This window comes from Homo sapiens, chromosome 12 (assembly GCF_000001405.40).
Source record: "Homo sapiens chromosome 12, GRCh38.p14 Primary Assembly".
Classification (NCBI taxonomy): Eukaryota; Metazoa; Chordata; class Mammalia; order Primates; family Hominidae; genus Homo; species Homo sapiens.
In genome coordinates, this window is record NC_000012.12 from 4,744,061 (window position 1) to 4,767,022 (window position 22,962).

The following is a 22,962-nucleotide window of genomic DNA, read 5'->3' on the forward strand; positions in this document are numbered from 1 at the left end:
AGTAGGTCAACTGGGAATATCTAAAACAAAACAATTTTAGTCATTTATGGATTCTCCAGAGTTTTGAGAGTTTAGCTATGAAGATGTTCCAGGCCTTCCTGCAGTGTTTTCCATCAACCTGTGCACCTTAGGCTAGATCTGTCCACTCATTCTCTCAAGAACTTCTCAACGTGAAAAAGCACTTATAACAGTGCCTGACACGTAGTAAGCAGTATTATCATTTTAAGATAGTTTAACTGTCAGGGAAAGGACATTAGGAATGATCACAGTACACCTCAGGTGCAAGGGAGAAGAGAGGCAGGTGCAGGGGAAATACTACTTATTTTCTAGTTGACTCTTAGAATTGCCCATTTTATGCTGGAGGTAGTCCAGCCACTAATATATGATAGTATAAAACTTTTGTATCACGTTGATTGTTGCACTCAGAATTTCTATAGGTGTGCACTTGATTGACAGGAGAACTAAAGGTACACTTGGATGAGAAGATTAAGCTTTACAACCAGAAGTATCCAGGACTACTGAAAATAATACGGCATCCTGAAAGGAAAGGTCTTGCTCAAGCCCGCAACACTGGCTGGGAAGCTGCCACAGCAGACGTGGTCGCCATCTTGGATGCTCACATTGAAGTCAATGTTGGGTGGTAAGGCTCAAAGAGGCTAGTTCTTCTGGAAAGGGCAGAGAGGAGATATTGTGCATGTACTGAACACAAGACAGGATACTGTGGACACAGGGAAAGTCAGCACCAGGCCTTAAATAAAGGGAATCTCCAAAACAGCATGCTTTTATGCAGGGATTTTGCTTGGCTAAGAGAAGTAGCATGGTGGAGAGTATTGACAGTTGGATCATAATGCTGACTTTGCCAAATACTTTGTGAATTTGAGTAAGTCACTTCACTTAACTAGACATTGTGTCTTTAACTGTAAAGATGAGGAGATTAGCCTTTGGTTATTTTAAAGGTTTTTCCCCAGCCATGAAATTACATAATAAAATAAAGAGAACTATGTTCTTTAGAGAATGTGGAGAATCAGACAGGAAAGAAGCATCACTTTGGAAACGGAGAACCAAGAGATAACGTAAATTCAAGGAGTAATATACATACTGAGAATGCTGCTTCACAACGGCCTGGGGGTGTTACCTGGGTACTAATTTCAAACCTGTTCTCGATGCGGGTTGGCTTCTAGCAGCTTCAGCTATCCCGAAAGGTTACAGAGATTCTCTGGACTCTAGAGAGTTCTACTCACAACCCAGTACAGCCTAAATGGAGGAGGTACTCAATGTCAGGGCAAGGTGCTTGGAACAGCTTTATCTGCTCTCCCCTACTGCTTGTCCTCATATCCAAGCTGGGCTTTCTGCACACTCTTGTTCTAGGGCAGAGCCAATCTTGGCTCGGATTCAGGAGGACCGCACTGTGATTGTGTCTCCTGTGTTTGACAACATTCGTTTTGACACCTTCAAACTGGATAAGTATGAACTGGCAGTTGATGGGTTTAACTGGGAACTCTGGTGCCGCTACGATGCACTGCCACAAGCCTGGATTGATCTGCATGATGTCACTGCCCCAGTGAAGTAAGTCTGAGGAGATTCAGGGAACTTGAGTAGCATGTGGGAAGGCAGGAATGAACTGAATGGATTTTGTTTATCTTTGGTGGTAGTAATTGGGGTGACGTGGAAGGAGGGGAGGGGATGAGGTGAAGGACAAGGGATAGAGGGAAAAAACCCCAATAAGTTATCCCAGTTAAGAAATCACAGACACTTTGGGATATTTAGGGACTTTCAGACAAAAATCAAGCAAAACACTTAAAATTTTGGAAAACATTTGGGCCATTTCAAGCTTTAGCAGACTATGAAGTAAGGATACCTAGAAGAAAAAGGTGTAATTTCAATATATTTTGAGAAGGGTTATGATAACGCAGTGGGCGAGGGAAAGCTACATGCACTTAGTCTTGCCTGAGAGTTTAGGGAAGGCCTTCATGATAAGAACAGACTTAGGTAGAGTTCTGAAGCCCAAATAATCATTGAGCATCCCACCCCTCGCCTCCGCTCCTTATGGAGAGATTAGTGACTCTTGCTGTGTGCTCTGTAGGAGTCCTTCAATCATGGGCATCCTGGCTGCTAACAGGCACTTCCTGGGAGAGATCGGGTCTCTGGATGGTGGAATGCTCATCTATGGAGGAGAGAACGTGGAGCTTAGCCTGAGGGTGGGTACATTTCCCTTTTCTTTATGGGACAAAGCAGAAAGGGGAATAATAGAAAGGTAGTAGGACCCCTGGAATCCTAGAACAAGGCTGAATGTCATTGGCTCAAAGGTGGATACATTCTTATGTTTCTAGGCAACTGGGCCAAGGACGGGGGGCAATAGGACTTCTGGAGTGGACACTCCTGGTATAGCCCATATAATCTGGGAGGTGGGGTGGGAAGGGGTCAAGTTGGGATTGAATAGATAGATGTCCCTATTTCACTTGAGGACTCTGGGCATTTTTCAAGCATCTCCTGGGATAAACTTAACCTTGGAGCAGACAATTCTCTAGAAGGCCAAAGACAGCAAAAACAGGAGTGGGCAGCGTGACTAGGGAATGCAGACGTGTGGGCAGCCAGCCTGCTTCTGTACTCACAGCCAGAGCAGCTGACGTGATAGCCTGAGTTTGTGCTGAGATATAGTCTAATCTAAGACAAATAGCCAGGTTTTTATCATTATATAACTGAAATCCTCAAACCCGGCCAGTTACGGTGGCTCACACCTGTAATCCCAGCACTTTGGGAGGCTGAGGCAGGCAGATTGCTTGAGCCCAGGAGTTCAAGGCCAGCCTGGGCAACATGGTGAAACCTTGTATCTATTAAAAAAGAAAGAAAAAGAAACAATAAATCCTCAAACCAGTGCTAGTCCTGACCAACTTCTGTGTGTCTGGAAAAATACTGGCTTCACACTTAAGCAGTGATGCCTCTTGTCTGCCCCTGACAGCTTCCCATGCTTGTTTAGGTTAAATGAACAACCTAAATTTAAAACAAATTAAATTTTAAATTTTTGTGGGTACATTGCAGGTGTATATATTTAGGGCGTGCATGTGATGTTTTGATATAGGCATGCAATGAATAATAATCATGTCATAGAGAATGGGGTATCCATCCCCTCAAGCATTTATCCTTTGTGTTACAAATAATCCAATTATATTCTTTTAGTTATTTTAAAATGCAAAATTAAATTATTATTAACTATAGTCATCCTATTGTGCCATCAAATAGTAGGTCTTATTTGTCTTATTCATTCTTTGTGACTATTATTTTTGTACCCATTAACCATCCCCTCTCCCCCAACTACCCTTCCCGGCCTCTGGTAACCATGCTTCTACTCTCTATGCCCATGAGTTCAATTGTTTTGATTTTTAAATTTCACATGTAAGTGAGAAATACAGTGTTTGTCTTTCTGTGCCTGGCTTATTTCACTTAACATAATGATCTCCAGTTCCATCTATGTTGTTGCAAGTGACGGCCTCATTCTTTTTTTTTATGGCTGAATAATACTCTATTGCATACTACATTTTCTTTATCCATTCATCTGTTGATGGACACTTAGATTGCTTCCATATCTTGACTGTTGTGAACAGTGCTGCAACAAACAAAAGAGTGCAGATATCTCTTTGATTTACTGATTTCCTTTCTTTTGGGTATATACCCAGCAGTGGGATTGCTGGATCATATGGTAGCTCTATTTTTATTTTTTTTCTGAGGAACCTACAAACTGTTCTCCATAGTGGTTGTACTAATCTACATTCCCACCAACAGTGGACGAGGGTTCCCTTTTCTCCACATCCTCTCCAGCATTGTTATTGCCTGTCTTTTGGATATAAGCCATTTTAACTGGAGTGAGATGATATCTCACTGTAGTTTTGATTTGCATTTCTCTGATGATCAGTGATGTTGAGTATCTTTTCACATGCCTCTTTGCCATTTGTATGTCTTCTTTTGGGAAATGTCTATTCGAATCTTTTGCCCATTTTTTGATTGGATTATTAAATTTTTACCTATAGAGTTGTTTAAGCTCCTTGCATATTCTGGTTATTAATCCCTAGTCAGATGGGTAGTTTGCAAATATTTTCTCCCATTTTGTGGGCTGTCTCTTCACCTTGTTGATTGTATCTTTTGCGGTGCAGAAGCTTTTTAACTTGATGTTATTCCATTTGTCAATGTTTGTATTGGTTGCCTGTGCTTGTGGGGTATTGCTGAAGAAATCTTTGCCCAGACCAGTGTCCTAGAGATTTTCCTCATTTTTTTCTTGTAGTGGTTTCATAATTTGAGGTCTCAGATTTAAGTCTTTAATCTATTTTCATTTTATTTTTGTATATGGTGAGAGATGCAGACCTACTTTCATTCTTCTGCATATGAATATCCAGTTTTCCCAGCACCATTTATTGAAGAGACTGTCTTTTCCCCAGTGTGTGTTTTTGGCACCTTTGTCAAAAATGAGTTCACTCTAGGTGTGTGGGTTTGTTTCTGGGTTCTTTATTGTGGTTCACTGGTCTATGTGTCTGTTTTTATGCTCGTACCATGCTGTTTTGGTTACTATAGCTCTGTATTATAATTTGAAGTCAGGTAATGTGATTCCTCCAGTTTTGTTCTTTTTGCTAGGCATGGTTTTGGTTATTCTGGGTCTTTTGCAGTTCCACATAAATTTTAGAATTGTTTTTTCTATTTATGTGAAGAATGGTGTTTTGATAGGGATTGTATTTAATCCGTATATTGCTTTGGGTAGTATGGACATTTTAATAATATTGATTCTTCCAATCCATGAACATGGAATATCTTTCCATTTTTTGGTGTCCTCTTCAATGTTTTTCATCAGGGTTTTATAGTTTTCATTTTAGAGATATTTTTTACTTCTTTGCTTAATTCCTAGGTATTTAATTTTATTTGTGGTGATTGTAAATGGAATTACTTTTAAAGATTTCTTTTCAGATTGTTCACTATTGGCATAGAAATGCTACTGATTTTTGTATGTTGATTGTCCATCCTGCAACTTTACTGAATTTATCAGTTCGAATAGTTTTTTGGTGGAGTCTTTATGTTTTTCCAATATAAGATTATGTCATCTGCAAACAAGGGTAACTTGAACTTCATCCATTCCAACTTGGATGCCTTTATTTATTTCTCTTGTCTAATTGCTCTAGCTAGGACTTCCAGTAGTACACTGAATAACAGTGGTGAAAATGGGCACCTTTGTCATGTTCCAGATCTTAGAGGAAAGGCTTTCAGTTATGTTAAGGTATGTTTCTTCTATACTTAGTTTTTTGAGGGGTTTTAAATCATGAATAGAAGTTGGATTTTATCAAATGCCTTTTCAGCGTCAATTGAAATGATCACATGGTTTTTGTCTTTCATCCTGTTAATATGATGTTTCACATTGATTGATCTGCATATGTTGAACAATCCTTGCATCCCAGGGATAAATCCCACTTGGTCATAATGAATGACCTTTCTAATGTATTGTCAAATTCAGTTTGCTAATATTTTGTTGAGGATTTTTGTGCCAATATTCATCAGAGATATTGGCCTGTAGTTTTCTTTTCTTTTTTTTTTTTAACGTGTCTTTGTCTTGTTTTGGTAGCAGGGTAATACTGGCCTCATAGAATGAGTTTGGAAATGTTCCCTCCTGTATTTTTTGGAAAAATTTAAGTAGGATTGGTACTAGTTTTTCTTTAAATATTCGGTAGAAATCAACAGTGAAACCACTGAGTCCCAGGTTTTCCTTTACTGGGAGACTTTTTATTACAGCTTTGATCTCATTACTTGTTATTGTTCTGTTCAGGTTTGGGATATTTTTCCTGGTTCAATCTTGAACCAAGTTCAATGTGTCTAGGAATTTGTCCATTTCTTCTAGATTTTCCAACTTGTTGGCATACAGTTGCTTATAGGAGCTGTTAGTGTTCCTTTAAATTTATGCAGAATCAGTTGTAATGTCTTTTTCAATTCTATTTATTTAGATATTCTCTCTTTTTTTCTTAGTCTGGATAAAGGTTTGTCAATTTTGTTTAACTTTTCAAAAAACCAACTTTTTGTTTCATTGATTTTTTTGTATTCTTTATTTCAATTTCATTTATTTCTACTCTGATCTTTATTATTTCTTTTTTATTTTTTAACTTTCATTTTAAGTTCAGGGGTACTAGCGCAGGTTTGTTATATCAGTAAACTTGTGTCATGGTGGCTTATTGTACAGATTATTTCATCACCTAGGTATTAAGCCTAGTCTCCGTTAGTTATTTTTCCTGATCTTCTCCCTCCTCCCACCCTCCACCCTCCACCCTCCAAAAGGCCTCAGCGTGAGTTGTTCCCCTCTTTGTGTTCATGTGTTCTCATCATTTAACTTCCACTTAAAAGTGAGAACATGTGGTATTTGGTTTTCTGTTCCTGAGTTAGTTTGCTAAGGATAATGGCCTCCAGCTCCATCCATGTCCTTGCAAAGGACATGATTTCATTTTTTATGGCTGCACGGTATTCCTTGGTGTGTATGTACTACATTTTCATTATCCAGTCTATCATTGATGGGCATTTAGGTTGATTTCATGTCTTTGCTATTGTGAATAGCTCTACAATGAACATACATGTGTATGATTTATAATCCTTTGGGTATATACCCAGTAAAGGGATTGCTGGGTTGAATGGTATCTCTGTCTTTAGATCTTTGAGGAATCAACACACTGCCTTCTACAATGGCTGAACTAATTCACACTCCCATCAACAGTGTACAAGCATTCCTTTTTCTTCACAACCTTGCCAGCATCTGTTATTTTCTTCTTTTTAATAATAACCACCTTACTTCAAACTATACTACAGGGCTACAACAACCAAAACATCATGGTACTAGTACAAAAACGGACACATAGACCAATGGAACAGAATAGAGAACCCAGAAAAAAGACCACACACCTGTAACTATCTGATCTTCAACAAACCTGACAAAAACAAGCAATGGGGAAAGGATTCCCTATTCAATAAATGGTGCTGGGATAACTGGCTAGCCATATGCAGAAGATTGAAACTGGACCTCTTCCTTACACCATATACAAAAATTAACTCAAGATGGATTAAAACTTAAATGTAAAACTCAAAACTATAAAAACCCTGGAAGACAACCTAGGCAGTACCATTCAGGACATAGGGACAGGCAAAGATTTCATGACAAAGATGCCAAAAGCAATAGCAACAAAAGGAAAAATGGACAAATGTGATCTATTAGTTATTTCCTACTACAATTTTGGATTTGGTTTCCTCTTGCTTTTCTAGTTCTTTAAGATGCATCATTAGATTGTTTGAAATTTTTACTGTTTTTGATGTAGGCACTTAGAATAAACATTCCTCTTAGTACTGTTTTTGCTATATTCCATAGGTTTTGGTATGTTGTGTTTCCATTATCATTTGTTTTAAGAAATTTTCCAATTTCCTTCTTAATTTCTTCATTGACTCACTGGTCATTCAGGAGCATATTGTTTAATTTCCATGTGTCTGTATAGTTTCCCAAATTTCTCTTGTTATTGATTTCTAGTTTTATTCCACTGTGGTCAGAGAAGATGCATGCGATTATTTTTATTTTTTGAATGTTTTAAGACTTGTTTGTGACCTAACATATGGTCTGTCCTTGAGAATGATCCATGTGCTGAGGAGAAGTGTATTCCGCAGCCACTGGATGAAATGTCTGTAAATATCTATTAGATACACTTTGTCTATAGTACAGATTAAGTCTGATGTTTCTTTGTTGATTTTCTGTCTGGAAGATCTGTCCAGTGCTGAAAATAGGATGTTAAAGTCTTCTGCTATTACTGTATTGGGGCCTATCTCTCTATTTAGCTCTAATAATATTTGCTTTATATATCTGGATGCTCCAGTGTTGGGTGCATATATATTTAAAATTGTTATAGCCTCTGGCTAAATTGACCCCTTTTTTATTATATAGTGACCTTCTTTGTCTCTTCTTATAGTTTTTGTCTTGAAATCTATTTTGCCTGATATAAATATAGCTACTCGGCTTTGTTTTGGTTTCCATTGGTATGGAATATCTTTTTCCATCCCTTTATTTTTAGTTTATGCGTGTTTTTATAGGTGAAGTATGTTTCTTATAGGCAACAGATCAGTGGGTCTTGTTTTTTCATTCATTTGGCCACTCTATGTCTTGATTGGAGAGTTAAGTCCATTTACATTCAATGTTATTATTGATAAGAAAGGACTTACTTCTGCTATTTTGTTATCTGTTTTCTGATTGTTTTGTGGTCTTTTCTTTCTTGTTTCTTCTCTTTCCTGTCTTCCTCTAGTGAAGGTGATTTTCTCTGTTGATATGATTTAGTTTCTTGCTTTTTATTTTTTTGTGTATCTGTTGTATGTTTTTTGGTTTGGGGTTTTCATGAGGCTTGCAATACTATCTTATCATCCATTATTTTAAGATGATGATGGCTTAACACTATTTGCATAAACAGACAACCAAACAATTGAAAAAAAAAAAAACTAATAAAAACTCTACACCTTGACTTTGTCCCCCCACTTTTTAACTTTTTGTTGTTTCTATTTATATCTTACTGTACTATGTCTTGAAAAGGTTTTGTAGTTATTATTGTTGATCGATTCATTATTTAGACTTTCTATTTAGGATAAGAGTAGTTTATACACCACAGTTACAGTGTTATAATATTCTGTGGTTTTCTGTGTACTGACTATCACCAGTGAATTTTATCCCTATAGATGATTACTTAGGGCTCATTAACATCCTTTTCTTTCTGACTGAAGTACTCCCTTTAGCATTTCTTGTAGGATTGGTCTGGTGTTGATGAAGTCTTTCAGCTTTTGTTTTTGTGGGAAAGTCTTTATTTCTCCTTCATGTCTGAAGGATATTTTCACTGTATATGTTGTTCTAGGGTAAAAGTTTTTTCCTTCAACACTTTACATATGTCATGTCACTCTCTCCTGGCCTGTAAGGTTTCCATGGAAAAGTCTGCTGCCAGAAAGTATGGGAGCTGCATTGTACGTTGTCCTCTTGCTGCTTTTAGCATCCTTTCTTTATCCTTGATCTTTGGGAGTTTGATTATTAAATGCCTTGAGGTAGTTTTCTTTGGGTTAAATCTGCTTAGTGTTCTGTAACATTCTTGTACTTGGACATTGATATCTTTCTCTAGGTTTGGGAAGTTCTGTGTTGTTATCCCTTTGAATAAACTTTCTACCCCTATCTCTTTCTCTACCTCCTCTTTCAGGCCTGTAACTCTTACATTTTTCCTTTTGAGGCTATTTTCTAGATGCTGTAGGCGTGCTTCATTGCTTTGTATTCTTTTTTCTTTTGTCTCCTCTGACTATGTATTTTACAAATAGCCTGTCCTCAAGCTTACTGATTCTCCCTTCTGTTTGACCAATTCTGCTATTAAAAGATACTGGTGCATTCTTCAGTATGCCAGTTGCATTTATCAGCTCCAGAATTTCTGCTTGATTGTTTTTTATTATTTCCATCTCATTGTTAAATTTATCTGATAGAATTCTGAATTCCTTCTCTAATTATCTTGAATTTCTTTGAGTTTCCTCAAAACAGCTATTTTGAATTTTCCATCTGAAAGGTCCCTTGTCTCTGTTTCTCTAGGATTGGTCCCTTCATTCATTTGGTGAGATGATGTTTTCCTGAATTATCTTGATACTTGTAAATGTTCTTCTGTGTCTGAGCATTGAAGAGTTAGTCTACTTATTCTAAGTAAAGACTACTTATTGTAGTCTTTACTGTCTAGGCTTGTTTGTACCCATCCTTCTTGGGAAGGCTTTCCAGATATTCAAAAAGACATGGGTGTTATGGTCTAAGCTGTACCTGCTTTAGGGGGCACCCCAAGCCCAGTAATGCTGTGGTTCTTCCAGACTCATAGAAGTACCACCTTGATGGTCTTGGATAAGATCCGGGAGAATCCTGTGGATTACCAGGCAGAGACCCTTGTTCTCTTCCCTTACGTCTCCCAAACAAATGGAGTCTATCTCTCTTTCTGTTCTGAGCTACCTAAAGCTGGGGGTGGAGTGACACAAGCAACCCCGTGACCACCGCCACTGTGACTGCTCTGGGTCAGACCTGAAGGTAGCACAGAACTGGGTCTCACTCAAGGCCTGCTGTAACCACTCACTGTGTACTTCCTATGTTCCCTTGAGACCCTGGTGCTCTACAATCAGTAGGTGGCAAAGCCAGGACACAGGACACAGGCCTGTGTCCTTCCTTTCGGGGCCGTGTGTTCCTCCAGGTCCCAAGTGGGTCCAGAGGTGCTGTCTGGCAGTCAGACACTAAAGTAAAATACCTTAAAAGTCTACCTCATGTTTTATTATATTGTGACTGAGCTTGACTGAGCTGGCACTCAAACCACAAGACACACTTCTTCCCACTCTTCCCTCCTCTTTCCAAAGTTAGAGGCCAGTGCCACCACAGACCCACAGGGAGTCCTGCCAGACTACCACTCATGTTCCCTTAGGGCCCAAGGACTCTCAAGTTAGCTTATGATGAATGCTGCCTGGCTTAAGACTCACCCATCAGGGAAGTGGGCTCCCTTCTGGCCCAGAGCAGGTCCAGAAATGCCATCTAAGAGTCAAGTCCTGGAATCAGGGACCCCCAAGAGACTGCTTGGTGCTCTACCCACCTGTGGCCGAGCTGGTACCTAAAGCCAGCAAGTCTCAGAGACTTACCCACGGCCCTCAATGTAGTATTGGGTATTGCTGCTAGTTGTTCAGGGTCCCAGGGCTCTTCACCTAGCAGGTGATAAATGCTGCCAGGACTGGGTCCTTCCCTTCAAGGCAGCGAGCTCCCTTCTGGCCCAGGGTGTGTTTAGAAATGTCATCTGGGAGCTAGGGCCTGGACCAGGGACCACACAACTCTGACTGATTTCCTAGCCTGCTGTAACTGAGCTGATATCCAAGATGCAGTCAAAGTCCTCCTCACTTCTCCCTCTCCTCTCCTCAAGTGGAAGGAAGGGGTCTGTTTTGGAGCTGCAAGTTGTACATCCTGGGGTTAGGGATGGGTCATGCCAGTACTGCCTTAGTGGCCCCAATTGATATTTCAGTAGGTTGTGTGACCTGCCTCCCCACCCCCAATCCACTGTCTCTGGGCCCAGTTCAGCACTAGGATTCCCCTAATAGTTGCCTAGACTGCCTTTCAGGCTTACTTAGAGACTCAAAGCACTTTAGCCTGGTGGCAAGGTTTGTGGGAACTCAAGGTCCTACTTCTGGGATCAGTGATTTCCCTCTGGCTGGGGCTGGTTTAAATGCTCCCTCTTTGGGTGGGCATCAGCTGAGTTTGGTTCAGTTTTCCTTTCTGCTCTAACAGGACAGCACTGAGTTGAGTGCCTCACGATTGCTGTGCTCTTCCTCCCCCAACACACAGAAATGCTGTCTACACCATGCTGCAGCTACTGGGGATGGGGGAGGGGTAGCATCAGTGATTCGCTACTGTCCTTTCTACCTCTTCAGTGCCTTTTTCAGCAATATGAAGTTAAAATATGAGTACTGTGAGTGCTTAACTGATTTTTGGTTCTTATGAAGGTGCTTTGCTTGTGTAAATAGTGGTTAAATTTGTATCCTTGTCAGGGGGATGATTGGTGGAGCCTTCTAGTCAACCATCTTGCTCCACCACTTCTCCCAACCTGAATTTTTGTGCTCTATAAGGGAATTCAGGATGCAAACCAAGAAAAATAGAGAAATTACAAGTGCAGATTCAAGATATGTCAGTGTATTGGTTAACTCTTGCCAAAAAATGTCACGCAATAAATCAACCCAAACTCAGTGCCTTAAAGCAGCAATAATCAATTCTCACAGATTTGCAGATCCAGCTGGCTTGGATGGAGTGGCCGTGTTCCACATGTGTTCACTCTGGGGCTCAGGCAAATGTGGGATAGCAGCTACCTAGGACAGAAAGCTCTTCTTACGGTGTGTAAGAGGGCAAATGGGACCATGTGAAGTCTCGTAAGGCCTAGGTTTAGAAGTAGCAAACTATTTCAGAGTAAGTCACATGGCCAACCCTGAAATGGTGTGAAGAATTAGGGCCAATAAATTTCATGAATCAGAATCAATTTAGAAGAGATTTTGTGGATAAAATATCATTTCCACAGTATCTCTTTTACCTTTTTGGTGTAATCTACAGGGCCTCATTAGAAGGGGCTGGCCCGGGGGTTTGTGATTGTTCTTGGTAGTTCATCTTTTTTCATCTTCCAGCCTAAGGCCGAACTCTTAAAAGAGGCAATGGAAAGTAGTCGAAATTACACAGGTGTTGGAGACAGACAGACTTAAGTCAAAATCCTGCTTTGCCTCTTAAGAGTTTTTGTGCAACATACAAGCCCTCTAAGCCATACCTGCTGCATTAAGCACCTAGTATGGTGAGTGACATATGGTTTACACTCAATAAATGTTTAACGGTAAAAATGACAATAATAAGAATGTCAGGGTGGCATTGTAACAAACACTGACCCTGAGTTGTAATGCTGTCTCTGCTAAGTCACTGTGGACTAAGCTTCTATAAGATGACCTTTTTTCCCCCTCCAAGCCCTGAAATTCTGTGCTTGTGACAAGGTGATCTCTGATCCACTGTGGTGTCTGGAGGAACAAAGTAATTTCCCATCTAGAGTTTATTTCATTCCACTGTCTTTAATTTCTTTCTAACTGAAACTGATGACCCCATAGCCATGTACTGTACCCAGTAAGGACCCACTCAGGACTCCACATTTAATGTTAACAAATGAATTTTGAGTCTTTTCTGGGTTATACCTTAAGCCATAATCATTCTTTGGCAGAGAAAACTAACCTTTTTTGGATGGTGGTTGATGTGGTTAGGCTTTGTGTCCGCACTCATATCTCATCTTAAATTATAATCCCCATAATCCCCATGTGTCAAAGGAGAGACCAGGTGGAGGTCATTGGATCATGTCGGGGGGGTTTTCCCCAGGTGGTTCTCCTGATAGTGAGTGAGTTTTCACAAGATCTGATGGTTTTATAAGTGTTTGGTAGTTCCTCCTGCGTTCATTCTCCTTCCTGCTGCCTTGTGAAGAAGGTGCCTTGCTTCCCCTTTGCCTTCTGCCATGATTGTAATTTTCCTGAGGCTTCCCTAGCCATGCTGAATTGTGAGTCAATGAAACCTCTTTCCTATAAGTTACCCAGTCTCAGGCAGTTCTCTATGGCAGTGTGAAAACAGACAAATGCAGTGGTCTGATCAGTTTTCCCATTTGTGAAATGAAGAGAAGCATTTTGTTTAATGTACCTCATAAGAATGATGGTACAGTCACAATGTAATAATGAATTTGATATAATTTTATAAAGATATTAATTAGAATGCTCATTCAGCTTCTCTGACAGAGGCTAAAATAACAGAAGCTTCAACATGATAGAAATTAATTTCTCTTTCCTATAACAGTTTGAACATAAGCAGTTCAGGATTGATATGGCAGCTCTAGGGTGATAGGGGCCAAGACTTTTATTTGGTGGTCCTGCCACACTCAACACCATATTTGTATTCTAGCCAGTAGGAAGATAAAAGGGGGAAAGAGAGAGAGCAAGCTCTTTCTTTTTAAGAGCACTACCTGAAAGTTGTGTATATTATTTCTTTTCACATTCTGTTGGCCATTACCTAGTTACATGGCCACACCTGTGTGCAAAGGAGTCTGGGAAATATAGATTTTAGTTACTGGGTTATGTGCCCAGATGTTTCTTCTATCACTGTAGATATAGAGCAGAATCAGAATAGACACTGGGAGTACAGGTACTGTCTAACACAAAAAATATAAATGCAAAAATAATAACTTTATTTACGGTACTTAGCAAAGTCTTGAGGATGACCCTAGTTACACTGTGGCTAGGTTTTCTTACCTACCAGAGCTTTAGGTGAATTCCCCAATTCTTCAACTTAAGACCCAAAGCCCTCATTATTTCTGAGTTCCTGATGCTTTGTTCTCTCCTTCTGCACCTAGGCTGAGTCTCTCTGTTTTCATTCTCCCAAACACACACAGAACACTGCCATTTCAGTTTCTACAAGACATTCTTTCTTTTAATATTTTGTGATTTTTAAAATGGACTTTGCTTAAAATATAGGGTCATCCTTTTCCTTTTTTTTTGGATCAAGCAGTTCTGCCCATATCCAGCTTCTTGGTTTGTGTGAGACTATTTGCCTTTTAAAACATCTAAGTACTTATTAGGATTTTTCTCCAGTAGCAGATCTTGAACATCAGAGCTGCATGGAGTGCTTTATTCTGACATCTAGTGGCCATGACAGGGATGGTGCTCATCAATGTGTGTAAATGGAGATGATGGGTAGGAAAGGTTAAGAAGGGAGATGATGGGTAGGAAAGAAAAAACAGCATTTGTTGAGCACCTTGTATATTTCACACACTGTGCCAGAACTGAACATGTAACTTCCTGGGCTCACAATGCAGCTCTGTCATTTACTAGCTGGTAAACATGGGCAGGTTACTTAAAGGGAGATACCTGTATGGTGAGGACTAAATTTATGCAAAGTGTTAGGACAGCATATGGCACAAAGTAATATATTATTATCAGCAGAAGCTTAATGTCTCTGTGTGTGTGTGTGTGTGTGTGTGTGTGTGTGAGAGAGAGAGAGAGAGAGAGAGAGAGAGAGAGAGAGAGATGATGGAAGGAATTTGGCAAGTGGGAATAAATTTGGAGAGCAGAGTTTGAAAACTTTTGGGCAAAGCTAATTATGGGCATTACTTCATAAACGGCAATCTTTTTTTTTTTTTCTTTTGAGACAGAGTCTTGCTCTGTTTCCCAGGCTGGCGTGCAGTGGCGCAATCTAGGCTCATTGCAACCTCCACCTCCCAGGTTCAAGTGATTCTCCTGCCTCAGCTCCTGAGTAGCTGGAATTACAGGTGTGCACCACCACACCAGGCTAATTTTTGTATTTGTAGTAGAGACAGGGTTTCACCATGTTGGCCAGGCTGGTCTCAAATTCCTGACCTCAAGTGATCTGCCTGCCTCGGCCTCCCAAATTGCTGGGATTACAGGCATGAACCACCACACCTGGCCTCAGCAATCTTGACTTTTAACTTGAATTTAAGATTTCTTATGATAACAGTTAATTTTTCTCCCTGAATTCACGTGAGTTGAAAACCTCCATCAGCTAGGAAAATTGGAGTAAGGTAATATTTGGATTTTTGAATGTTTGGCTAGAGAGAATAATAATATCTGAGTGCAAGCTGGATGTAACCTCCACATGATTCTGGGGGCCAATGAGGAGAGCCAGAGAAGGATAATGAAAGAAAATGTGCACTTCAGGTTATCTCAGAGGCTGCCATAACTGATTCCTTGTTACATCATTTAATCCCAGTGAAAACCCAAATAGTGGCTGTGCCCTTATAGCAGATGAATAAGTTGAGGGTCAACTTATTCCATCATTGCACACCTGGCAGCTAGAGGCAAAACACTCTAGCTGCCAGGTGTGCAATGATGGAACCAGAATTTGAACATAGGTCAGTCTGATTTCAAAGCCTTGCTTTTTTTTCTTTTTTTTTTAGTCCATTGTTCTGGCAAATAGGGTGCAAAGGAAGGGGAATCTAGGGTTTTAAGAAGTGAAGAAAAGGATGAAAACAATTTGAAAGTCAGATAATGAGACTGACTACTCAGTTGGACACTCTTGATAAGTTAACTGAACCGCCGTGGCCTAAGCTACACACTGTTATCTCAGGTGCTCCCATTGGCATGAGCGTGGTAGGTTGCTAGCCACTGCTATGGGCTAATTACCTTCCAGAAACTGCATCTCACTTAGGCAACCGTGAAGAGAAGACACAGGAGACATCACGTCGATCCAATATGATTAAATAGTCCTATTAGCTACTGAGATGAACATAATATTTTCTAAGCTCAATATTAGAATGTGTGTTTTGATTAGTATGTTTTGTACCCATCAGGATGGTAAAAATGAGTATTTGTAATTGGGTCATAAGGCATTTGGTCAAGTTATGCAAATTAGTTATCTATTGCTGTATAACGATGTTATCACCAGCTTAGTGTTTTAAAGCAAGATGCATTCATTATTTCACAGTTTCTGCGGGTCAGAGGTCCATGCACAGTTTAGCTGGGTCTTCTGTAAGGCTGCCATCAAGGTGTCAGCCAGAGTTGGGTTCTCATCTGGGCTCCACTGGGGAAAGATCTGCTTTCAAGCTCACATTATTGTTGGCAGCATTCAGTTCCTTGAAGTCTTCCAGGCTGAGGAAGCATTCAGTTTTATGCTGGGTATCAGTTGGAAGCCACTCTTAATGTCTTCCCTTTTTATGTGTTAGCTGACAGCATGGCAGCTTCCTTCTTCAAAGCCAACAAAAGAGAGCATCTCTTGGCAAAATGGACCCTCCAATCTTATGCAGTGTATTCATGATCCATGTAATCAAGCACATCCTGCCATCCTTGCCATATTCTGTTGGTTAGAAGCAGGTCACAGGCCCACACTCAAGGGGAGGGGATCAGGCAAGGCTGTAGACACCAGGAGGAGGGATCATGGGGTCACTTTGGCGTCTGTCTGCCACATTGCCCTTTGTCTAGCATGCAGGCAGAGAAGGGGCATGAGGAACTTAGTGCAGTGAGAGTGGCTCAGGGCATGGTGCCTCTCAGGACATGGGCACTTTCCTTGGGGATAAGGGAGCAGAGGCAGCCCCTCCTTTGGTCCATGTAGGAGGACTTCCTGAAAGAAGTATGATTCAGGAGTTGTTTGAATGACAGAAGAGAAGCAGTTCAGTAGACTTCTAAGGAAAGATGATTTAGATAAGAAAGTTAGAGGAGGCAATATAAAGGCAGGAGTGGGAGGACTGAGCTTACATTCTTTAAAAACGGCTCTAAAATGTAGTCTTCTTGTGTCAATAAGCTATGCAATTCATTGGCTGTGAAGCACGGGTGATTTTTTGGTCTTCTTCTGCAGGTGTGGCAGTGTGGAGGGAAGGTCGAGATTTTGCCCTGTTCCCGGATTGCCCACCTAGAGAGACACCACAAGCCCTACGCCTTGGATCTCACCGCTGCCTTGAAGCGCAATGCTCTGCGAGTGGCCGAAATCTGGATGGATGAGCACAAACACATGGTCTACTTGGCCTGGAACATACCTCTCCAGGTGAGTCATGGAATTGAACAGCAGCACGGAAGAATGAAAGAGGAGGAGGTGGCGGTTATGTAATGGGGAGGGATAAAGCAAAAGTGCCATCGCAGCCCTAAAGAATTAGGGTAAGGTCCTGATGGTGTGATAATAATGGCTCTTAACATTTATGTAACAGTACAGTACTGCATTCCGGACCCTTCTATATATTAACTTATTAGCCGTCACAACATATGTAGGGGATAGGTTTTATTTTTATTATTCTAAATTTTACAGATGAGGAAGCTGAGGCACAGAGAGTTGGAAGAAACTTGTTTAAGGTAATGCAGGGAGTAAGATTCAAACCAAGGAAATCTGGCTTCTAAGTTCCATGTTCTTCATCTCTCTTTTATAATGAGAGATATAAACATAGCAGGTATGATGTGGGGTGGTAGGAGAAGGCACTGTAATCTTGTTGGATGCACAAGAATGAGGATAGCATTCTTTTTTAAGTTTTTTTTTTGGTACAGATAGGGTCTTGCTATTTTGCCCAGGCTGGTCTGGAACTCCTGGCCTCCCAAAATGTTGAGTTTAAAAGTGTTAGCCCCTGCACCCAGCCAAGGTTGGCCTTCTGAGCTAAGCCCACATCTTATACACTGGCTGCTTAAGGTCGTGCTGTGCTCTCTCGTGTCCCTGAGCTCTGGCTCCGGGCCAGAGCATGTGGAGCTGTGTTGGCCCACAGGGAGGAGTTATCTCATTGACAAACTCATCCCTCCATCGTAGTGGGTTCTAATGTAGCCCCCAGAAAGACAGGGAGTCAGGATGGTGGGTAACTGTGGATGGACCTAGAAGAGAAAGTCTGGAAGGACTCCTAGGGTCAGGAGCCAGGTTAACACTGGGATCACTAGGTCTGGAGATTGTAAAAATGTGCAGAAATGCCTGAGCCTTCTTTATCATTTAAAGATACCAAAATGCTTCCTTTCCTAATCCAAGCTGCCAATAACCTCTTACAGTTGGATCATTGTTTGAAGAGAGATGGGTAAGAGTTGATTCTGATGTCCCAGTATACCAAGGTATGATAGGAAAACAAGTACCCTCCAGGACATCCCTAGCTTTTTTATTTCCACACAGTCATATTGTGACTGTCCCAAGCTGTACAAAGAATTGTCTGTAAAATACTGAACTGTCAAAGGATGATCTAAATTTTTACATGGGATGATCCACAATGAGCCCCAAAGGAAAATTCTGGGAAGAGGGCAGATACACAAGTGGTTTCTGCTTTTCCTAATTTGCCTCTTTAGTATTATTTTACATTGATTCCCCACAAATATCACTTCTAAAAAAGTCTCTTTTAATCTCCAAATCTTGGTATTAGAGTATTCCTTCCAAAAGCCTTTTCTGGCCATATCATGAGGAGTATGTTGGGTTTTATTGATGTAAATATCATCTCAAAGAGGAGCAATCTGCGTAAGCTTATGAGGAGAAATAAACCTGAGCGGCCCCACTATGCAGGCCTTGAAGGAGCAGAATTTGAAAGAGCAGAATTTTCTAGGGTTTAAGGTTTTTCCACTTTCTCTGGAAATATAAAATATCAAGGTTACTTCACAGGCTATCAGAAAAAGACTCAGTTCCATCATGCGTGGTCCATACCCACTGGTGGAGTGAAGGAGCTGTTAAAAGAAAAACTTCAGCCAAATTAAATTTAAAGGAGTTTAGCTGAGCAATGAATGATTCGCAAATGCGGCAGCACCCAGAATCACAGCAGATTCAGAGACTCCAGCGCAGCCATGTGGTGGAAGAAGATTTATAGACCAAAAAAAAGGGAAGTGACGTACAGACATCGGAAGTGAGGTACAGAAACAGCTGGATTGGTTACAGCTCCGTGTTTGCCTTATTTGAACACTTGAACACTGGACAATGGATGAATGGTTGAAGTATGGCTGCTGGGATTGGCCAAGACCCAGCTATTGTTACAGGTGCATAGTCCTAAGTTAGGGTTTCAATCTTGTCTATCCATTAAGTTGGGTTGCAGTCCGTCCACAAGGACTCACATGCAGAAATATGGAGTCCTTCTCAGGCCATATTTAGTTCGCTTTAACAGAGCTTTCATGAATCAAAGCACAGAAACACTTGGCGTTTTATTTACAGAACTCTGGAATAGATTTTGGAGACGTTTCTTCCAGAATGGCACTCCGGGAAAAACTGAAATGTAAAACTTTTGACTGGTACCTGAAAAATGTTTATCCACTCTTGAAGCCACTCCACACCATCGTGGGCTATGGAAGAGTATGTATTATGAAATTGCACTTTGGATTTTAAATGTTTGACTGTGAAAGACAATGCGGCCTGAATCTCGTGATTGCCTGTCCTGCCCAAGACGCCCTTCCTACCTCAGCTTTCTACTCAGCTCTTCGCCCTCAACCCTCTCAGTTTCCTTTTGTCCCTTGCTCCCCGATCCCCATCTCTTTTCCTTCTCTCTGCTTCTACTCCCCTTGAAAACTATAGCTCTTGCCTGGACTCCCCCCCGCCCCGCCCCCGTTTCTCCAGCAGCTGCAGCGATTGGCCTTGTCCGCCTGAACTCCGCAGAGGCGCCCCTCCCTGTGTGTGTGGTGATGGGCTGAGGTGATGGGTGTTTCCCGGATGTGGGCAGCGCAGCAGCGCCTCCCTTCGGCGCTGGTCTGTTTCCCAGTGCTTAGAAAATGCCTGCCGGGATCCCAGCCCTCTGCTCCTTGTGGCTGGTCGTTCCTGGTGTCCTCGGTGTGTTGGGGAAAATGTAGGCCCTGGGAGGGATGGCGCCTCATTCTCTGTCCTTTCTAACAGTGTTGCCGTGTGTTTTGTCCCCTTCAGATGAAAAACCTATTGGATGAAAATGTCTGCTTGGATCAGGGACCCGTTCCAGGCAACACCCCCATCATGTATTACTGCCATGAATTCAGCTCACAGGTATCTTCCACAATCTTCCTGGCCCTGCCTGGGCAAGTCTGTCGTGGCTCAGCCCCTGGTAACCATTGCTGGGTCTGGACTCCGTGATACGTGATGGGGAGGCAGGAGCGGAGCATCCTGGGTAAGGGTGAAATCCAGACCTGCACTTGTAACTGAGCACGTCTTAGTTTCTTCAGAAAGCCGTGGCAACGTAGTTCCATTTCAGTTACAGGGAGGATAGGTAGAAAAGCTATGCTCTGTCACATTCATTCTGCATGGTGATATTTGCATTGACAATCACCTCTGGTCCCTTCCTTTTCCCCTCCTCCCACTGCTCCCGCCATCTTCTCACTGCTACTGGAAAGCCTGGGAAAGTGGACAGGTGAAGCCACCTGTGCTTCTCCTATAGCGAAGGAAGCAGAGCTAGAGAGGATAGAGGCTGAGCAGACGCTCCTCCAAGGGATGGAAGGGCCCTGGCACCATGTGGAAGGTGCAGTCAGGGGATTTTTTTTTTTTTTTTTTTTTTTTTTTTTTTGAGACAGAGTCTCGATCTGTCGCCCAGGCTGGAGTGCAGTGGCGCGGTCTCAGCTCACTGCAAGCTCTGCCTTCTGGGTTCACGGCATTCTCCTGCCTCAGCCTCCCTAGTAGCTGGGACTACAGGCACCTGCCACCATGCCCGGCTAATTTTTTGTATTTTTTTTTTTTTTAGCAGAGACGGGGTTTCACCATGTTAGCCAGGATGGTCTCGATCTCCTGATCTCGTGATCCGCCCACCTTGGCCTCCCAAAGTGCTGGGATTATAGGCTGGAGCCGCCGCACCTGGCCTGGACATTTTTTTTTTTTTTTAGGGACAATATTCACATCTGTCTTCTTACTTTGCATGCTGCCCTCATAGCAACCTTTTGAGGCATGCACAATAGATATCATTTGCACTTAGTTGAAAAAATGGAGACACATTAATAACCTACTTGTCCAAGCTCACTGAGCAAGATAGTGTCAGACCAGGAATTTGAAAGGTTTTCTGACAACAAACCCATAGCTGAGGCCTGCAGTGACAGATTCTGGAGTTCAGTTTTGTTTTTTCTTCAAAGACAAGCTTCTTCATCCATGTAAGCTATGATTCTGTTGGAACCCTCCTAGGCCTGGCCTTCTCCCTGGATTCAAGGAGAGACTAAGGAGAAGGAAGCAGAGGTTGCTTCATGTTGTCCAGGAAGGTTCAGTGCTCTTGGTGTGACTGGGTGTCTAGGGGCCCCAAGATCATTCTTCCTGCTGTCCCTCGGGCTAGGGTCTCCTGCTGGCTGACAATGCCTATGGTGAGCCCTCTGCTTTTTTTTTTTTTTTTTTTTTTTTAGAATGTCTACTATCACCTAACTGGGGAGCTCTATGTGGGACAACTGATTGCAGAGGCCAGTGCTAGTGATCGCTGCCTGACAGACCCTGGCAAGGCGGAGAAGCCCACCTTAGAACCATGCTCCAAGGCAGCTAAGAATAGACTGCATATATATTGGGATTTTAAACCGGTGAGTTATGTGTTTTTGTTTGTTGGTTTGTTTGTTTTGTTTTGTTTTGTTTTGAGACTGAGTCTTGCTCTGCAGCCCAGGCTAGAGTGCAGTGGCTTCTCAGCTGACTGAGGCTACTGACAGAAAAGAGATTTGGGTTGGCTGTGAGATCTGGAAGGCAGGACATCCAGGGAAATTCTGCCAACCATTCTAACCTACAGTCTGGGTCCATTTCTATGGCCACTATGTCAAGAACACAAAAATTGAAAAGGGAGGTGATCATGTAATTTCTGGTGTGTTACCTAATATTGCAGTCTTGGCTCACTGCAACCTCTGCCTCCCAGGTCCTGGTTCAAGCAATTCTCCTGCCTCAGCCTTCTGAGTAGCTGGGATTACAGGCACATGCCACCATGCCCAGTTAATTTTTGTGTCTTTGGTAGAGACGGGGTTTCACCATGGCTGGTCTTGAATTCCTGACTTCGTGATCCGCCCGACTCAGCCTCCCAAAGCGCTGGGATTACAGGTGTGAGCCACTGTGCCTGGCGAGTTACATGTTTTTTAAATGATAGGTATATGAAAGGTTCAGATTTGATTTGATAGTGTTTTAGGAGAATTACTTCTTGTGGCCCCGTGTAGGGAAAATATTGGAAACAGGGAACTGGTAAGAAACACTGAGTCTCTTGACTAAGGCAGGGTGGTTAAGGAGAAGAAATATTGGAGTCTGTTGTAGCTGAACGGTTGAGAGTTTGGGCACAAGTCCTAGCTCAGTATAGCAATTTCCTTACCCTCTCTGAAGCTCAGTTTCCTCATTATAAAATGATGGAGATGATAATATCTTCTGTATGCGACTTTTGGGAGGATTAAATGAGATAGCGTGTGTAAAGCATTTCACGTGGTGCCTGGAGCAGAAGAGTGTTCAATACGCATTAGCCATTGTGATCCATTTATTATTAATGATTATCAGAGGGTGTGGAATACTATGCTGAAATCTGACAGAGGCTAATGTAGAAGCTCTGCCTTTAACTTCAATATCAAATGACCAAGGACAGGGCGGAGGGAATCTGGCAGAATTCATGTGATGATGACGCGAGGGTCTTGGCTGACAACAGTCTGTGGGGAATTTATAATGGATGGGCTTGCTCCAAAAGCTTCTGCACTCTTGGGCCAATTCATTAGGAAGGGGCAGTACCTCCTGGAGGGAGCTACTGCTCTGTCTCTGACTGTGTCTCTGAATGCGGTACTATGCTTGGTTCAGGTGCCACACGGACAATCTAGTTCAACAGTTTCTAACTTTTCAAAGTTAATGACCCCTTTGAGAATTCATTGCTAGCTATGGAGTCTCTCTCCAGGAAAACATACATATGACCTATGTGCAAGATTTGCTTACAGTTTCAGAGGTTTTTTGCATCCTAGATTAAGCTTCCCTGAACTAGACAATATCAATTAGAAGGAGGAGGGTAATGTCTTCTCAGTCTCTGATGTCTCACTTTAAGCTCC

The 22,962-nt window shown here is 41.8% G+C and overlaps 1 protein-coding gene across 1 annotated transcript in view, besides 2 other annotated features; it reads left to right on the plus strand.

Annotated features, from left to right (window-relative positions):
• GALNT8 (polypeptide N-acetylgalactosaminyltransferase 8) overlaps positions 1-22,962 on the plus strand; it is a 52,327-nt gene that overhangs the window by 23,661 nt on the left and 5,704 nt on the right. Inside the window, exons 4-10 of the mRNA NM_017417.2 lie at positions 457-640; positions 1,369-1,566; positions 2,084-2,198; positions 16,898-17,083; positions 19,193-19,330; positions 19,892-19,987; positions 21,319-21,486. Coding sequence (NP_059113.1) covers positions 457-640; positions 1,369-1,566; positions 2,084-2,198; positions 16,898-17,083; positions 19,193-19,330; positions 19,892-19,987; positions 21,319-21,486 — 1,085 coding nt within the window. The remainder of the gene's footprint in view (positions 1-456; positions 641-1,368; positions 1,567-2,083; positions 2,199-16,897; positions 17,084-19,192; positions 19,331-19,891; positions 19,988-21,318; positions 21,487-22,962) is intronic.
• Positions 14,083-14,377: a silencer, noted in NCBI's record as "tiled region #13428; HepG2 Repressive non-DNase unmatched - State 12:CtcfO". NCBI's record gives its function as "represses a minimal TATA promoter and a strong SV40 promoter by Sharpr-MPRA in HepG2 cells {active_cell/tissue: HepG2}" and the evidence as "EXISTENCE:reporter gene assay evidence [ECO:0000049][PMID:27701403]".
• Positions 19,715-20,215: an enhancer, noted in NCBI's record as "H3K4me1 hESC enhancer chr12:4872941-4873441 (GRCh37/hg19 assembly coordinates)". NCBI's record gives its function as "activates a minimal SCP1, AML or CMV promoter by ChIP-STARR-seq in primed H9 embryonic stem cells {active_cell/tissue: H9 hESC(primed)}" and the evidence as "EXISTENCE:reporter gene assay evidence [ECO:0000049][PMID:30033119]".